General features: G+C 37.0%; 1 protein-coding gene across 5 annotated transcripts in view; it reads right to left on the bottom strand.

Annotated features, from left to right (window-relative positions):
* The window catches only part of SCYL2 (SCY1 like pseudokinase 2), a 74,539-nt gene that overhangs the window by 21,849 nt on the left and 38,387 nt on the right, over positions 1–14,303 (bottom strand). For 3 of the 5 annotated variants that reach the window (NM_001330253.2, NM_001330256.2, NM_001330254.2), the window contains 7 exons: positions 8,674–8,823; positions 7,214–7,435; positions 6,329–6,445; positions 5,253–5,378; positions 4,133–4,309; positions 2,175–2,186; positions 1,942–2,064 (listed from right to left, as the gene is read on the bottom strand). In NM_001330253.2, coding sequence (NP_001317182.1) covers positions 1,942–2,064; positions 2,175–2,186; positions 4,133–4,309; positions 5,253–5,378; positions 6,329–6,445; positions 7,214–7,435; positions 8,674–8,823 — 927 coding nt within the window. The remainder of the gene's footprint in view (positions 1–1,941; positions 2,065–2,174; positions 2,187–4,132; positions 4,310–5,252; positions 5,379–6,328; positions 6,446–7,213; positions 7,436–8,673; positions 8,824–14,303) is intronic. The other 2 variants (NM_017988.6, NM_001317784.2) reach the window with 1 other exon arrangement.

The following is a 14,303-nucleotide window of genomic DNA, read 5'->3' as shown; positions in this document are numbered from 1 at the left end:
GGAAAAGATTTCTTATTTCTTGCTTTCTCTAGGATTCTCCTAATTGTTTAGATATGCTTTATCAACTAAGCAGTGCTAATTTCATGACTAAAGACTTACACTGAATGATACCAGAAATGCTGGTTTCCCCAACCTGGCCAACATGGTGAAACCCCGTCTCTACTAAAAATACAAAAAAAATTAGCCAGGCATGGTCGCCCATGCATGCAATCCCAGGTACCTGGGAGGCTGAGACACGAGAACTGCTTGAACCCAGGAGGCGGAGGTTGCAGTGAGCCAAGATTGCGCCACTGCACTCCAGCCTGGAAAAACAAAGGAAGAAATGCTGGTTTCCAAATCTTAGCAAAGTTACAAAAGTCAATCTGAATTATATACTACTTCAATAAAATACTTGCTGACACTTATTGGTCAAATTAACTATAAAGAAAAATGGATTTCATGTCACTTAATCTTCCCCTCCCTCTTCTTTAATATCACTAAATATAAAACAAGTTTGGCTGCACAGAGCCTGTGGGAATGTTTTGTGAGGCTATAATTCACAATTTCTTTAAAAAGAACTAAGAAATAGAGGTAGACACACCTTCCCCACTCATCCATGTCATTTGGACAAAGGCAGCATACCCTCACCTTTAAGAAGGCAAATCTAATTATAAGGAAAAAAATGTTAACATCAACCTCACAGCCTTGAACAAACGAAATAACTTAGCAGACAAAGACTGAATTAAGTCCAAAAAGTGACCTTAAATATGTAGTATTAGGTTCATATTAACTTTAGAGTAAATAACTTAAAAAAATCCTATTTTATTAAAATGTTTATACTAGCAGAGACTATAAGCTTTTACTACAAAACCATCCTGCAGTGAGATGTTCTTAACATAAGTATGTATTTTCAAAGTGAAAAAACTAAATTACACTTTTAATAGTGATCCAGAATTTCTTTCAGACAAAGAACTCATAGAACCAAAATTTTAATCGCAAAGACTACAAAACTAACAGTCTGGCAAAGTATATGGTGTTTTAAGATGGCCTTTGTGGAACAAAAGTTATAACTATACATGCATTAAGAATGGTCACACTAAATTACTGTCTGCTTTTCCATCTACCTGCTGTACAAATTAACTTCATTGCAGAAGAAACAGCATCTCTACATAGAAAACTGAGTTACCAAGCAAGAAGGAAAATTATGAGTATGGGAAAATACCTACTCAATGTTTTCATGAGAAAAAGGCACACGTGGCCACGCCCAATGGCTCAGGCTTATAATCCCAGTACTTTGGGAGGCTGAGGCACGAGGACCACCTGAGGTCAGGAGTTCGAGACCAGCCTGGCCAAAATGGCGAAACCCTGTCTCTACTAAAAATACCAAAAATTAGCCGGGTGTGGTGACAGGCACCTGTAGTTCCAGCTACTAGGGAGGCTGAGGCAGGAGAATTGCTTGAACCCAGGAGGCGGAGGTTGCAGTGAGCCGAGATTGTGCTACTGCACTCCAGCCTGGGCGACAGAGCAAGACTCAGTCTCAAAAAAAAAAAAAAAAAAAGAAAGAAAAGAAAAAGGCACATGCATCTTCGGAATTTTTGTTCATAATTATCAGTTTAGAAAGAAGCAGAAAGATGAAGGTATACAATAATACAAACTACAACATATCAAATCTTCTTCCATAATAGTACATTTCTGATAAATAAAAGCAACAAATCTACCTCATAATGCAGGTATTATGTACACAGACTGATTACTTTTTTCACTTACAATACACTGATTCTTTAAATTAGTTAGGAGTGAATATATTTTAGTTACAGTATATCAATAATGTGATTCAAAAGATAAATATATTTACTATTGAGTTATGTATTTTATGACTTAAATCCAAAATGTACTTTATACCTCTTCTTCTGCTTTAAGAATCAAAATCATCATTAAAGAAAAACAAATCAGATACTGTACCTGGATCTGAATGGAAGGAGCTTCTAGTGCTCTGTAAACCATGGGTAGAACACTGTTCTTTATCTCATCAGGAGGGGTTTTGGTTAGTAGCAAATCCATTTTTTGTAGGAAAATTAACAAAATCTGTTTAGAAAACGGAAACAATGTATTAAAACCTGGAATCTTTAAAAGATTCAATATATGCCAAATGTAAAGCTTCTTCAAAAGAATAACTCATATATTTTGACACTCACCATGTTGCTAGCCTGAATGCGTGGAAGACAAAAACACACAAATCAAGTCTCTTACATTTCTGGAGGCACAATATTTAACATCTGCTCTGAGTTTAAATGTTAATTAAATAAAGACTAATCTCCTCTCACATATCTACAGTAATCTATCACTTGCCCACACATACCAACTATCTGGAAAGCTACAGGGTGAAAAAAGCCAGTAAAGTGAGATATCCCAAAGAAGTAAAGTCCATCACTTGGCTTCTATGAAGCTCAAGAGAAAAAGAAAGTACAGAACTGAGAGGGAGTATAAGAAAAAATTCTAGACGCCAGGTGCAGTGGCACACACCTGCAGTCCCAGCTATTTGGGCGGCTGAAACAGGGGAATTGCTTGAGCCCAGAAGTTAAGTCCAGCCAAGGCAACATAGCAAGACCCTATCTCTTAAAAAAATTTTTTTTATTTTAGAAAAAAATGTTTTTAAGTTGTCCCTGGTCATTCTTCCACATACCTAAATTATAAGGAACATACTGCCCCTTCTATTTATACAGAAATTAGTTTTGCCAAGACTCAGGGAAGAATATTCGGAAGAAATTTTTTCTTTTTTTTTTTTTTTGAGACAGGGCCTCACTCACTCTGTCACCCAGGCTGGAGCGCAGTGGCGCGATCATAGCTTACCGCAGCCTCGACCTCCCAGGGCTCAGGTGATCCTCCCACCTCAGCCTCCTGAGTAGCTGGGACCACAGGCAGGCACCTGGCTTATTTTTGTATTTGTTTGAAGAGACAGGGTTTCACCATGTTGCCCAGGCTGGTCTTGAACTCCTGGGCTCAAGCAATCTGCCTGCTTTGACACGACAAAGAACTGGGATTACAAGCGTGAGCCACTGCACCTGGCCCAAAAGGTATTTTTAACTGGACAACTAAGAGAAAAAAGAATGGAGGCAAATAAGAATTCAGATTATAGGATCCTTAGGGTACTATCTTGACTGATGCATAGCTTAGGGAACAGTGGCTCCACCAACTTTCCCTCATGACACCTTGACCATTTGGGGGAACCCTGCTTCACAGGCTACAGCTCCCTCACTTGTTCTTTCCCTAATTCACAGAAATTCTCACCTTACCACCACATACTTCCTTCTGTTCCCCTCCTTTCAAGGGAAGGACTACAAAGAATCATAAAACCATTAAATTAGATAGTTGATATATAACTAATAAGCTATTCCTATACAATGCTACAAACATGTAATAATACCTGCTATGTGCCAGAAAATTTCATTTAATCTCAACAATCCTTTTCATTTTAGAAATGAGGAAATAGAAGCTTTAAGATGGCAACGACACAAGTCATACTTCAAGTAAGGAGATAAAGAAGCCCCAATTCAACCCAGGTGTGTGACTCTACTGCTCTTAAATCCAACATTACCTTCAATCTAGCAAATATATATTATATACATGAGAGACTGATTACTTTTTTCACTTACAATACATATACACATTATTCCCATGGTGCTGTAAGCATTTTCCTATTCTAGTGGAAGTAGTTATTAGCAATAAAATGGAGAGAAACAACTGGCACAAAGCACCTACATATTAAAGACTTAAATAACAAAATAATCAAAAATACTTCAAATACTTCAAAGTGCAAGAGAAAAACAAGTATTTATTTTCCTAAACCTGTAACTTTCTACAAAGTATATATATGGTACATAAAGAACAGTATAACACATGCAAAATTTCATTGCAGTTTATCTTCTGAGATAGTAACTTATGGAGAGCTACAGACATTTAACTGCAAAGTTCAATCATAATTTTAAAAATAGTTTGGTTCAAACATGTAAAGCAGCTTTCTGACTAATGGAAAAGAAAGTCTCATACACTTACCTCAGTTTTTTTTAAGTCATATATTCATTCCTTTTGTTTTCAGTGATAGTCACAATCATAAATAACAGTAGATAAATACACAAAAATATCTATAACATACCTGGATTGGCTCCTGCTGCTTAAACACAGGGCCAAGTTCAGGAAGAATTAATTTGACATATTCTTCTTTGGTGCATTCCTCAGCAATAAGTAGAACATTGGGCAAAACAAAAGGTACCATGTCAGGGTTTACAAATTCTGAAGTCAAACAAGGCAAAATTCTCTGCACAATGACACGCTGAAAGGCAAAAATGTTTTTTAAAAAAAAAATAAAATTTATTAAAGGTTTTTAGTATTAGTTAACACTAAGGTCTAAAACCTCTAATCCCTTTAGGTAACGTGACGATACAATTTATGGTTGAAACTGGTATATTTTCAGAGTAAAGTGGGATGCTATTGCTAATTATGCAAGGATAAATAGCATAAACTGGAAAGGTCATGGGTAAAAGGGGACACACGGTCACCCTACCTGTAGGAAACTTACCCTAATTAGTCTCCACCGCTATGTTTGTTTTTCCTCTTGATTCCTTCATTACTTACGATTCATACCACACAACATAAACACTATCATGTACTGTTAACTGTTTCACACGTTAACCCTAGCTACACTTACTATAAGGGCCTGAGAGCAGGGACAGTATTTTATGCCTCCTCTTTACTCTCCATAGCATCTAAGTAAAGAGTCAGACAAACAGTAGGTAACTAACGAATATCTGATAGATTAAACACTGGAAATGTTTTTACAACCAGGAATTATTAGTATTCCAACCAGTGCCTCTTCAGCATTCACCAACATTTTAAAAACTGTATTACACTCATCATTTAATAAGTCAGAAAAGGAGTAAAGGAATTGGAAAGGCTAACATCAACAGAAGTACCCCTTTAACTGCTGGTGAGACAATGAACTCCACATGATAGCTTATGGACTCTTCTTCTGACCTTTAATATCCAACTGCTGTCTCTGCCTAGTTAGTATCCTTCTAAATTTTTTAGCCTATTTATTTTTGGACCACGCAAAAAAAGGTCCACTGAACTTTTGGCTTCAGTTGGCAGTGTTTTATAGTCATTTATGTACCTCAGGCAAAGTTATATTATTTTCTTGGAAGAGTTATGGTAGTAAGTCAAAATAAACTTTAACTTCTAAAATCCTGATTATTAATAAGAAACTAACAATAACAAACCTTGGGCAGTTTTGGTAGAACCTTTGGCAGTCCTTTGAAAAACTGTGATTTCTGAAGATTATCTCTTTGGAATAAGGTATCAAAATATTGCAGTGTTACTGCACCAACATCATCAAAGAAGGGAATCTAAAAAAAATGGAAATAAAGTATTTTGATAAATGTTAAATTGAAAGTACTTCTCATATCTGAAACTGTCACAATATGGTAAAAAAAATACTCAGAAACATTTAGCAAAATGCTGAAGATCACCTTAGAAATTCTAATTATAAAACTCTGAATAAGAAAATAAATGATTTTTCAAGTTCAAATCTTTGGAATCTGTACCTGTGAATTGGCTGGGTAAAAACTTTCTTTTATGTAAGTCTAAAATATTGAAAGATTAAATAAAATAATTTGAAGGCATAAAAATACCAGTTATTAGTTAAAATCCATGGTTGGCCCGGGCACGGTGGCTCATGCCTATAATCCCAACACTTCGGGAGGCCGAGGTAGGCAGATCACCTGAGGTCAGGACAAGACCAGCCTAGCCAAAATGGTGAAACACTGTCTCTACCAAAAATACAAAAATTAGCCAGGTGTGGTGGTGGGGGCCTGTAATCCCAATTACTTGGGAGGCTGAGGCATGAGAATTGCTTGAACCTGGGAGGTGGAGGTTGCATTGAGTGGAGATCGTGCCACTACACTCCAGCCTGGGTGACAGAGTGAAACTCTGTCTAAAAAAAAAAAAAAAAAAATCCATGGTTATATGAGTGAAATAAAGGACTATGAATTCTCTAAGAGTCTAGAACATCTGTTTACTTAATTGTGACTGTTAGCACTCTGCTTATTTGAAATCTTAATTTTCTATCAGAGCAATTACGTACATATTTAGCTGTGTAAGATTAAGCAAAATTGAATATTTAATACACTCAAGGATACAGATGTTATTTGGGGCTGTATCTGACTGTTGCTTTAGAAGAACTTAATCTCAGAACAGGGATCCCTGGGGAAAAATATTTTTTTAAAACCCAAAAACTTAATCTACTTCAACTCATTTTTTGTTCCTCCATCTTAGGCAGAAATCCACATGTACTCACCTTTGTCATTTGATCTGCATCTGGTCTTACAGTCGGAGTTACATTTAACAGTAGCTTTACATGTTCACGAACTTCCTCAGGTATATTTGTAAGTGAACTAGATCCTAAACGACTCAACTATTCAAAAGAGTGATAACATTAAATGAGTATAAAATATTTAAAAAGACATATACATTTAAGAAAACATTTAAAAATTTACTCAATATTTTACTACAAATATACTGACTACATTTTAAACACACTGTTAATTCTATTGTTGCAAAACAAAACCCTTATCTTTAATACCCAAAATTGTTTCTATTCCTACAGTAAAATGTTCCAGTATTTATATTTACTCAAATGCCATGACTAAAGTTCTGTAACAAATTTTAACTAGTCCTCTTTATTTATTTGAAAAAAATATTTTTTTGAGACAGGGTCTCACTCTGTCACCCCAGGCTGGCATGCAGTGGCACAATCATAGCTCACTGCAGCCCCAAACTCCCAGGCTCAAGTGATCCTCCCACCCTGATCGGCCTTCCAAGTAGCTGGGACTACAGGCATGTGCCACCAAGCCCAGCTAACTTTTTGTATTTTTTTTTTTGTGGAGAAGTGGTTTGGCCATGTTACCCAGGCTGGTCTCGAACTCCTGGACTCAAGTGATCCACCCGCCTTGGGTCTCCCCAAGTGCTGGGATTACAGGCGTGAGCCAGAGCACCTGGCCTAGTCTGCGTTACTTATAAATTTGTTAAAATAAAAATATAATAAATTATTAAGCTGATCTTATGCAAACTTAAAATGAGATACTCATGTCATTTAAAGAATTTCCTGAACACATTTTGGAAAAAAATCAAAGACACATTTAATAAATTTTTTAATGCAAGCAAATTATTTATAGGCAAATACCTGATCCAACTGCCTACTGAAACTCTTGTAAATATCTTGCTTGTTGACTTCAAATATAGGTTTCCCTTTATTAAATACAGCATACATAACAGTTCCTAAAGAATACATATCACTGGCTGTTTCACAGCTCACAGAAAGTATGTATTCAGGAGCCAAATATTCAGGATTTGGAAGACACAATGAAGGTAAATTTGGGTCCCATTCTTTACAAGGAAATTTAGGCTGTAGTAAGAAAAGGAATTACATGGGTTACTTCAAATTCAACCAAACAACTATCAAGCAGTAGTAATCTATCTTTAAATTTCTACTCGGTCATGCAAGTAAAAATGCCATCACGCCTTCAATCCCAAAATTCCCAAATTCCCAAATGTAAAAAAGTCCATGCAACAAAATGAGAAATAAGAACCGTTACAACTGAGATTACTGGAGTCTCTTCCGGAAGACAAATTATCACTGTAATATGTAATATGAACATGTGAAGGTCTGGCTCATGTTTTATGATACACAGGCTTCAAAAGTTGTATGAGCTCAGATAGAGACTGTTGTTTGCAATTTGTTCTTTCACTAATTAGCTATGTGATTTAGTTAAAAAGTTCAAAAGATTGTAGTAACGATTAAACAAATGTGTGGAAGTTTGACCTAGCAGTGTCTGACCCACTCATGATATATATCCAACCAATACTAGTTAGTTCTGATTACCTTAAAACTGGCTGCTCAACTTACAAATCTTAGGTCAAATCACAGGCCCTCTAACGACTACATATAAGAAAAACCTATCACCAACGATCATAAGGTGCCATATCACCAAGGATCTTCTATGCCATGCAGACCCAATCAATACAAGGCAGAATTGATTTAATACAGTGTTTCTCTAAGTATGAATAGGCAGGTATCCTAATCATTAAGAAAAGGTGCTTTGGAAGCAGAAAGGCTGCGTTCAAATTCTGGCTCTATCACTTACCATCTACCTAAATTTAGGCAGTTCTTTTATTCTCTGAGCCTACTTAACTTATCTGTATTATTCCTATACCCCACTGAGTTATTGTGAGGATTAAATAAGTACAGAGAAAGTGTGTGGAAAAGTGCTTCAATAAGAATGTTAGCTATTGCCACTGCTATTATTATGCTCCCTAAAGAATATTCCATGACCCAATAAACAGGAAACACTGCTAGAGAGTCACATGTGTTATTGCATTTGACATCCTGAGGAAAAAAAAAAACCCTATTTAATCAAATAATTCTTAAATTTATTTAACTCTGGCATCCTTTTCTCAAATAACATTAACTACTGTGGTAGTAATGTGCCGAAGAATACTCTTAAGTGCAATGAACACTATAAATTTTCTATAAAGCTGTATATCTAAACATACCACTGTACCACATAGCCTATTTCTAGTCCATTCCAGATGCAATCAAAATTTCCCTGGCCTCAAAAATTAGAAGACTAAAACTTTCATTACCTCTTGTTCAGAAGGATTGGTTGATGATACACAAAAATCAAAACCCATTATTTTCCAGGCTCCACTTTTATTCAAAATTATATTTTCAGGAGTGATATTTCCATGCACCATTTTCACACTGCTATGCAAGAATGACAATCCTTCAGAAACCTGTAAATGGAAAAAACACATTTTACACTAAATAAAACTCCTTTCAATTATAATAAAATGTCTCACAAAAATAATAATTATTGCTACTCTTCACAATAAAAGTTTTGCGTGTCAGCTAAAAATCAAATTTCATCATAAATACCAAAGTATACACAGATGTAGTCAATTGCCAGAACAATCTGAAGATTAGTGAGAAAAATCTAGTTATAAAACCAGAGTACACCTATTTATTAAGTTCCTTCCTATATGCATATAAACAGAAGAAAAGATAAAGAATCCTTTGATGTCCAAATTTATTCAGTTCCTGAGTTTGAAAAGTGAGGGAATCTTTTATTCTTGAGTTGCAGACAGTGAATATTAAGATTTTTATATACATACACTTCAGATTGAAATTCAGTTTTCCTGAATAGCATTATACTCAGTTTTCAAATATTCAACTGAAGTTCACTTATTCTCACAGTGGATTAATATTTGGTAATTTTTATATTTGTCCCTGACATCACCACGGAATGTGTCAACCAAAACTAAAGGTTAGATTTCTGTTTCCAAGGAGTAGCTTTTGGCAAGCCAATGCACACTGACTTCCAGGACTTGAACATACATTCCAAAGAAGACATATGAATGGCCAATAAACACATGAAAAGATGCTCGAAGTCACTAACCATTAGGGAAATGCAAATCAAAACCACAGTGAGCTCTCACCTCACATCCATGAGGATGGCTACTATTTAAAAAAAGAGAAAATCCAGGCTGTGCACAGTGGCTCATGCCTGTAATCCCAGCCATTTGGGAGGCCGAGGCAGGCGGATCACAGGTCAGGAGTTCGAGACCAGCCTAGCCAACATGGGGAAACCCCGTCAATACTAAAAACACAAAAATCAGCCAGGCATGGTGGCGCGTGCCTCTAGACCCAGCTACTCGGTAGGCTGAGGCAGAAGAATCACTTGAACCTGGGAAGTGGTGGTTGTAGTGAGCTGAGATTGTGCCACTGAACTCCAGCCTGGGCAACACAGCAAGACGCCATCTCCAAAAAAAAACAAAATAAAAGAGAAAGAAAAAAGAAAATCCACATCTTTACATACCATGGGATAATTAAAATAGAGAGAGAGAAAAAAATAATAACTGCTGGTGAGGATATGGAGAAACTAGAATCTTTGTGTACTGTTGGTGGGAATATAGGTGCTATGTAAAACAGTATAATTGTTCCCCCCAAAAATAGAATCAGTGTATGATCCAGCAATTCTATTTCTGGGTAGATACTGCAAAGAACTGATAGCAGGGTCTTACAGAGATGTTTGTATACTCATTTGCACAGCAGCATTATTCACAATAGCCAAAATGTGGAAGCAATTCAAGGTCCATTGACAGATGACTGGGCACATAAGCTGCTTATAATGTGTATAAGCAACTATCATCTATCAATGGACACATGAATTGCTATGCATATACATATAATGGAATATTATTTAGCCTTTAAAAGGAAGGAAATTCCAACAAATGCTACAACATGGATGAACCTTGAGAACATTATGCTAACATAGGCCAATCACAAAATAACAAGTACTGTATGATTCCACTTACACGAAGTACCTAGAGTAGTCAAATTCATAGAGACAGAAAGTACAATTGTGGTTGCCAGGGGCAGGAAGGGAGGAGGAGTTGGAGGAATAAGGAGATACTGTTTCAGGGGCAGAGTTTCAGATTGCTAAGATGAAAACAATTGTGGAGATGTATGGTGGTGATGGTTCCATGACAATGTGAATGTACTTAATGAACGGACTCAAATGTACACTTAAAAATGGTTAAGATGGAAGAGGGCAGAGTAAGATGGCCAAATAGAATCCTACACTGTATATCCTCCCTGCGCAGGAACACCAAATTTTAAAAACTAGCTGCACACACGCGCGCGCACACACACACACACACACACACACACAAATCAAAATACCCAAAAATCAGGTGAGCACTCACAGTACCTGGTTTTAACTTTGTATCACTGAAAGAGGCACTGAAGAAGTGCTCTTTCATGGCTGGTTAGCAGTCAGTCCTCAATTGCCTACACCATCTCTCCCCAGTCCCTTACTGGGGATGTACAGCATAGAGACATAATCTGTGCACTTGGGGGACAGTGTAGTGACTAGGAGACTTTATATTGATCTCAGTGCTACCCTGTAACAGCAGAAAGCAAAGCTATGCTGGGCTCAACTAGCACACATGCTCTAAGGGAGCATTTGAACGAGACCTAGCCAGATGGGAATCACCCATCACAGAGGTCAGAACTGGAGTTTCTTGGCAGGCCTCTGCACCATGGACCAAAGTGTTCTGGGGACCTAGATAAACTTGAAAGGCACTCTAGGACTACACAAGGACTGCAATTTCTTTCTTTTTTGTTGTTGTTGTTTAATTATTACACTTTAAGTTCTGGGATACATGTGCAGAATGTGCAGTTTTTTTTACATAGGTATACACGTGCCATGGTGGTTTGCTGCACCCATCAACCAGTCACCTACATTAGGTATTTCTCCTAATGCTATCCCTTCCCTAGTCCCCCACCCCCGGACAGGCCCCAGTGTGTGATGCTCCCCTCCCAGTGTCCATGTGTTCTCACTGTTCAACTCCCACTTATAAGTGAGAACATGCGGTGTTTGGTTTTCTGTTTCTGTGTTAGTCTGCTGAGAATGATAGTTTCCAGCTTCATCCACGTCCCTGCAAAGGACGTGAACTCATCCTTTATTATGGCTGCATAGTATTCCATGGTGTATATGTGCCACATTTTCTTTATCCAATCTATCATTGATGGGCATTTGGGTTGGTTCCAGTCTTTGCTACTGTGAATAGTGCTGCAATAAACATACGTGTGCATGTGTCTTTATAGTAGAATCATTTATAATCCTTTGGATATATACCCAGTAATGAGATTGCTGGGTCAAATGGTATTTTTGGTTCTAGATCCTTGAGGAATCGCCATACTGTTTTCAACAATGGTTGAACTAATTTACACCCCCACCAACAGTGTAAAAGCATTCCTATTTCTCCACATCCTCTCCAGCATCTGTTGTTTCCTGACGTTTTAATGATTGCCATTCTAACTGGCATGAGATGGTATCTCACTGTGGTTTTGATTTGCATTTCTCTAATGACCAGTGATGATGAGCTTTTTTTCATATGTTTGTTGGCTGCATAAATGTCCTTTTCAGAAGTGTCTGTTCATATGCTTCGCCCACTTTTTGATGGGGTTGTTTTTTCTTGTAAATTTGTTTAAGTTCCTTGTAGATTCTGGATATTAGCCCTTTGTCAGATGGATAGATTGCAAAATTTTCCTCCCATTCTGTAGGTTGCCTGTTCACTTTGATGATAGTTTCTTTTGCTGTGCAAAAGCTCTTTAGTTTAATTAGATCCCACTTCTCAAGTTTGGCTTTTGTTGCCATTGCTTTTGGTGCTTTAGTCATGAAGTCTTTCCCCATGCCTAAGTCCTGAATGGTATTGCCTAGGTTTTCTTCTAGGGTTTTTATGGATTTAGGTCTTATGTTTAAGTCTTTAATCCACCTTGAGTTAATTTTTGTATAAGGTGTAAGGAAGGGGTCCAGTTTCAGTTTTCTGCATGTGGCTAGCCAGTTTTCCCAACACTATTCATTAAATAGGAAATCCTTTCCCCATTGCTTGTTTTTGTCAGGTTTGTCAAAGATCAGATGGTTGAAGATGTGTGGCATTGTTTCTGAGGCCTCTGTTCTGTTCTATTGGTCTATGTATCTGTTTTGGTATCAGTACCATGCTGTTTTGGTTACTGTAGCCTTACAGTATAGTTTGAAGTCAGGTAGCATGATGACTCCAGCTTTGTTCTTTTTGCTTAGGTTTGTCTTGGCTATACAGGTTCTTTTTGGTTCCATATGAAATTTAAAGTACTTTTTTCTAATTCTGTGAAGAAAATCAGTGGTAGCTTGATGGGGATAGCACTGAATCTACAAATTACTTTAGGCAGTATGGCCATTTTCACAATATTAATTCTTCCTATCCATGTGCATGGAATGTTTTTCCATTTGTTTGTGTCCTCTCTTATTTCCTTCAGGAGTGGTTTGTAGTTCTCCTTGAAGAGGTCCTTCACATCCCTTGTAAGTTGTATTCCTAGGTATTTTATTCTCTTTGTATCAATTGTGAATCGGAGTTCACTTATGATTTGGCTCTCTGTTTGTCTGTTATTGCTGCATAGGAATGCTTGTTATTTTTTATTGATTTTGTATCCTGAGACTTTGCTGAAGTTGCTTATCAGCATAAGGAGATTTTGAGCTGAGACGATGGAGTGTTCTAAATATACCATCATGTCATCTGCAAACAGAGACAATATGACTTCCTCTCTTCCTATCTGAATACCCTTTATTTCATTCTCTTGCCTGATTGCCCTGGCCAGAATTTCCAATACAATGTTGAATAGGAGTGGTGAGAGAGGGCATTTGTGCCAGTTTTCAAAAGGAATGCTTCCAGCTTTTACCCATTCAGTATGATACTGGCTGTGAGTTTGTCATAAATGGCTCTTATTATTTTGAGATATGTTCTATCAAAACCTAGTTTATTGAGAGTTTTTAGCATGAAGTGGTGTTGAATTTTATCAAAGGCCTTTTCTGCAACTATTGATATAATCATGTGGTTTTTGTCATTGGTTCTGTTTATGTGATGGATGACATTTAATGATTTGCATATGTTGAACCAGCCTTGCATCCCACGGATGAAGCCGACTTGATCATGGTGGATAAGCTTTTTGATGTGCTGCTGGATTCGGTTTGTCAGTATTTTATTGAGGATTTTTGCATCAGTGTTCATCAGGGATATTGGCCTGAAATTTTCTTCTTTTGTTGTAGCTCTGCCAGGTTTTGGTATCAGGATGATGGTGGCCTCATAAAATGAGTTAGGGAGGAGTCCCTCTTTTTCTATTGTTTGGAATAGTTTCAGAAGGAATGGTACCAGTTCCTTCTACCTCTGGTAGAATTTGGTTGTGAACCCATCTGGTCTTGGGCTTTTTTCGGTTCGTAGGCTATTAATTACTATATCAATTTCAGAATTTGTTATTGGTCTATTCAGGGATTTGACTTCTTCCTGGTTTAGTCTTGGGAGGGTGTATGTGTCCAGGAATTTATCCATTTCTTCTTGATTTTCGAGTTTATTTGCATAGAAGGATTTATAGTATTCTCTGATGGTAGTTTGTATTTCTGTGGGATCAGTGGTGATATCCCCTTTATCATTTTTTATTGTGTCTGATTATTCTCTCTTTTCTTCTTTATTAGTCTGGCTAGCAGTCTATTTTGTTAATCTTTAAAAAAAAAAAAAAAAAAAAACCAGCTCCTAGATTCACTGATTTATTTTTAAGGGTTTTTCATGTCTCTATCTCCTTTGGTTCTGCTCTAATCTTAGTTATTTATTGTCTTCTGCTAGCTCTTGAATTTGTTTGCTCTTGCTTTTCTTTTAATTGTGACGTTAGGATGTTGATT

The sequence above is a fragment of the Homo sapiens genome, chromosome 12 (genome assembly GCF_000001405.40).
Source record: "Homo sapiens chromosome 12, GRCh38.p14 Primary Assembly".
Taxonomy (NCBI): domain Eukaryota; kingdom Metazoa; phylum Chordata; class Mammalia; order Primates; family Hominidae; genus Homo; species Homo sapiens.
This window is presented reverse-complemented; position numbering and strand designations above follow the sequence as displayed.